We start from the raw sequence: 5,099 nt of genomic DNA, 5'->3' as shown, positions 1-5,099 counted from the left end.
CAAATGGGCGAAACTGGAACAGCCCCTTATAAAACCATCAGATCTCGTGAGAACTCACTTACTATCACGAGAACAGCATGGGGGAAACCTCCCTCTGATCCAATCACCTCCCACCAGGTTCCACCCTCCACAGGTGAGGATTATGGGAATTACAATTCAAGATGAGATTTGGGTGGGGGCACAGAGCCAAACCATATCACCATGTTTCATATGAAGAAAGTGGGAATTAGAGAGGCCAAGGAACTTGCCCAAGGTCACATGCTGGGAATGGTAGGCTGCGGTACCGCAGGAAGACATAAGATGAAATGCATGAAGAACATTCTGAAAAAAGTGAAATTTTCTCCAGTGCTTGGCTTTATCGTGAGCTGATCTTGTGATTTCTGTCACTCAGGCTGTGGATGCAAGTTAAAAAGCATCAGCTGTAACCAGTCACAGGAGGATTTCTGAGTTGGGCTGGGGTAGGGGAGAGAGATTTCTGCTTTGGGTCCCCATAGTTTCTGTAACTCTGGTTTAGTTTCCTTGTCACTGGATCCTGCATTCCTTGAGGGCAGCCATTGTATTTTATCTTTCAGCTTTACTAAAGTATATGAAAAGCCGGGCATGCTAAAGTGTACAATTCAATAAGTTTAGAATGTGTATTCACCTGTGAAACTATCAGAACAATCAAGATACTGAACACATTAATCACCTCCAAAATGTCCTCATGCCTTCCAGCAATCCCTTCTTCCCAGGCAATCACTGACCTCGTTTCCGTCACTATAGATTAGTTGGCATTTTCTAGAATTTTATAAAAATGGAATCATAGTCTAGTTTCTTTCTTTCTTTCTTTTCTTTTCTTTTCTTTTTTTTTTTTAAGAGTCTTGTTCTGTTGCCCAGGCTGGTGTGCAGTGGCGCAATGTTGGCTCACTGCAACCTCTGTCTCCCGGGTTCAAGCAATTGTCCTGCCTCAGCCTCCCGAGTATCTAGGATTACAGGCGCGTGCCACCATGCCTGGCTAATTTTTGTATTTTTAGTAGAGACAGGGTTTTGCCATGTTGTCTAGACTGGTCTCAAACCCCTGACCTCAGGTGATTAGCCTGCCTCGGCCTCCCAAAGTGCTGGGATTACAGGCGTGAGCCACCGTGCCCGGCCAGCCTGCCTTCATTGACTTGGAATAATTATTTTGAGACGTATCCATGTTGTTGCATATATCAAAACTTTATTCCTTATTTGGTTTATTATATTTTTAACATATAGTAAAAATAACATCCTTTGGTGAACAGTTCTACAAATGTATAGATTTGTGTAACCACCACAATCAAGATACAGGGCAGTTGCATTAACCCAAAAAACTCTCTCATGCTATCCCTTTGTAGTCCTACTTCCCTCTACCCAGTACCGCGACAACCACTGAACTGTTTTCCACGAATATAGTTTTGTTCTCTCAGGAATATCATATTAATGAGACTGACTTTTTTACTCATCATAATGACTTTGGAAGTCTCCCAAATTGTGTGCTTGCTCCTTTTTTGCTGAGTAGTATTCCAATGCATGGATGTATTACAATTTGTTTATCCATTGGTTGAATGATATTTGGGTTGCTTCCAGTATTTGACAATTAGGAATAGAGCTGCTATACACATTCTTACAGGTATTTGTGTTATCATATATTTTTATTTCTCTAAAATAAATACCTGGAGTAGGACTGCTGGATCACATAGTAAGTGTATGTTTATAAGAAACTGCCAAATTGTTTTCTAACGTGACTGCCAGCCTGGTGCGGTGGCTCACACCTGTAATCCCAGCACTTTGGGAGGCCGAGGCAGGTGGATCACCACTTTGAACTCAAGAGTTCAAGACCAGCCTGGGCAATACGGCAAAACTCCGCCTCTACAAAAAAATACAAAAATTAGCCAGGCATGGTGGTTCATGCCTGTGGTCCCAGCTACTCAGGACACTAAGGCTGGAGGATCCTTTGAGCCTGGGAAGTGGCAGCTGCAGTGAGCCAAGATCAGCCTGGCTAAGTGAGACTGTATCTCAAAAAAAAAAAAAAAAAAAAAAAAAGGGACTGCCATTTTGCATTTCCATCTGTAATGCGTGAGAGCTCCAGTTGCTCCATAGCCTTGGCCTTGCCAATATTTTTTATTTTAACCATTCTAATAGATGTGTAGTGGTATCTCATCATAGTTTTAGTTTGCATTTGCCTAACAGCTAATAATGTTGAAACATTTGCATTTAATGTAATGGTTGATATATTATGGCTTGAGTCTGCCAGTTTATTTTTTGTTTTCTTTTGTTTTCTCATTTCTCATTGCTTTTTCCTGACTTCCTAAGAGTTACTTAAACATTGGTCATTCATATATCTTCTTTGGTAAAATGATGATTCAAATTTTTTGCCCATTTAAAAATGGGTTTATTTTTCTTATTATTGAATTGTAAGTGGGCTGGGTGCAGTGGCTTATGCCTGTAATCCCGGCACTTTGGGAGGCCGAGGTGGGCAGATCAACTAAGGTCAGGAGTTTGAGACCAGCCTAGCCAACATGGTGAAACCCCCTCTCTATTAAAAATACAAAAATTAGCCTGGAGTGATGGCATACGACTGTAGTCCCAGCTACTCCGGAGGCTGAGGCAGGAGAATTGCTTGAATCCAGGAGGTGGCGGTTGCAGTGAGCCAAGATTGTGTCACTGCACTCCAGCCTGGATGACAGAGTGAGACTCCATCTGAAAGAAGGAAGGAAGGAAGGAAGGAAGGAAGGAAGGAAGGAAGGAAGGAAGGAAGGAGAGAGAGAGAGAGAGAGAGAAAGAAAGAAAGAAAGAAAGAGAGAGAAAGAGAAAGAAAGAAAGAAGGAAGGAAGGGAAAGAAAGAAAGAAAAAAGAAAGAAAGAAGGAAGGAAGAAAGGAAAGAAGAAAGAAAGAAAGAAAGAAAGAAAGAAAGGCATTTTTTATATGAGTCCTTTATCCATTATAGGATTTGCAAATATTTTCTCCCAATCTGTGGCTTGACTTCTCATTTTCTTGATGTTGTGTTTTGATAAGAAAACATTTTAAATCTTGAAATCCAATTTGTTAATTGTTCACATATGAATTATGATTTTGGTGCTGCAGCTAAAAAATCTGTGCTTAACCCAAGGTCACAAAAATATTCTTCTATGTTTTCTTCTAAATATCTTATAATCTTATAGCATTTGCTCTTGCATTTTTTATTCATTTGGAATTAATTTTTGTGTATGATGTGAGGTAAGTGTATAAATTCTTTTTATATGTAGATATTCAATTGTCCCAGCACAATTTGTTGAAAATACAATTGAATTGCCTCAGCATCTTTATTGAAAATGAACTGACTATAAATGTGAAGGTTTATTTTGGTACTGTCAGTTCTGTTCCATATAAATATATCTTTATGTTACTGCCACACTGTTTTGATTATTATAGCTTTATAGTAGGCTTTTAAATAGATGAGTGTGAGTCCTCCAGCTTCGTTCTTTTTAAATATTGTTTTCGCTATTTTGGATCTCTTTCACAGGAATTTTGTGATCAGCTTGTTGATTTCCATAAAAAGCCTACTGGGATTTTCACAGGGATTGTGTTAATTTAGGAAGAATTGCCAACTTAATAATATTGAGACTTTCAATTTTTAAACATGAAATGTCTCTCCACTTATTTATGTCTTCTTTAATTTCTCTCATCAACATTTTGTAGTTGAGTGTATAAATCTGGTATCTTTTTGTTGTATTATTCCTAAGTAGTCTCCTCGATACTATTACGAATGGAATCACTGTCTTAATTTCATTTTTGATTTGCTAGCATATATAAAAATATAATTGATTTTATATATTGATTTACTATTCTGAAAACTTGATGAACTTGTTTATGGTTGTAGTAAATTTTTTCTCGTGTGTGAGTGCCTTAGGATTTTCTATATACAGGATCCTGTTGTCTGCAACAGTTTTACATCTTCCTTTCCAATCTATGAGGCTTTTATTTCTTTTTCTTGTCTTCATGCACTGGCTAGAACCCCCTGTATAATGCTGAATAAAAGTAGTGAGACATGACTTCCTTGCATTGTTCTGAAACATCCGGCAAATATGGTGTTAACTATAGGCTTTTCATAAATGCCTTTTATCAGGTTGAGGAAATTCCCTTCTATTTCTGGCCTGTTGAAAGAATTTTTTTGTTTCATTTTTGTTTTTGCTAAATCATGAATGGGTATTAGATTTGGTCAGATGCTTTTTCTGTACCTAGTAAGATGATTTTTTTTTTTTTTTAAGACGGAGTTTCACTCTTGTTGCCTAGGCTGGAGTGCAATGGTGTGATCTGGGCTAACTGCAACCTCTGCCTCCTGGCTTCAAGAGATTCTCCTCCCTCAGCCTCCCGAGTAGCTGGGATTACAGGCATGTGCCACCATGCCCAGCTAATTTTGTATTTTTAGTAGAAATGGGGTTTCACCATGTTGGTCAGGCTGGTCTTGAACTCCTGACCTCAGGTGATCCACCCACTTCAACCTCCCAAAATGCTGAGTTTACAAGCTTGAACCACTATGCCCAGCCCAATCATATGGTTTTTGTCCTTTATTCTGTTCTATTAGCATGGGGTATTAAATTTCTTTAAATTCCTGGGATAATCCCATTTGGTCATGGTGTATGCTCCTTTATATATGTTCCTGGATTTAATTTACTAATGTCTTATTGAGGATTTTGCATTTCTGTTCAATAAGGAATATATCTTAGTCTGTTTTGTGCTGCTATAACAGCATACCTGAGACTGGGTAATTTATAGTGAATGGAAATTTATTTTCCCATAGTTCTGGAGGCTGGGAAGTCCAAGATCAAGGTGCCAGTAAGGCACCTGCTACATCATCATGTCACAGAAGGTGGAAGGGCAAAGAGGCAAAAGGAGCCCAAACTTGCTCTTTTATAATGGTGTAAATCTTATCTTTGATCAGGTTGAAGAGTTCCCTTCTATTTGTAGTTTATTGAGCATTTAAAAAGATTATACCCAATAATTGGATTCTGTCAAATGTGTTTTCTGCATTGATATCTGCATCAGTCAAAGCTAAAGAGATTTTTCCTCTTCATACATTTAGCATGGTGGATTACACAGATTAATTTTTTTTTTATTAT

The 5,099-nt window shown here is 38.4% G+C and overlaps 1 annotated feature.

Annotated features, from left to right (window-relative positions):
• Positions 4,079-4,308: an enhancer, noted in NCBI's record as "active region_23086". NCBI's record gives its function as "activates an Ori minimal core promoter by ATAC-STARR-seq in GM12878 lymphoblastoid cells {active_cell/tissue: GM12878}" and the evidence as "EXISTENCE:reporter gene assay evidence [ECO:0000049][PMID:35858748]".

The sequence above is a fragment of the Homo sapiens genome, chromosome 5, assembly GCF_000001405.40.
Source record: "Homo sapiens chromosome 5, GRCh38.p14 Primary Assembly".
Lineage (NCBI taxonomy): Eukaryota > Metazoa > Chordata > Mammalia > Primates > Hominidae > Homo > Homo sapiens.
The sequence above is the reverse complement of the archived record's forward strand: the minus strand, read 5'-3'. Positions and strand labels throughout refer to the sequence as shown.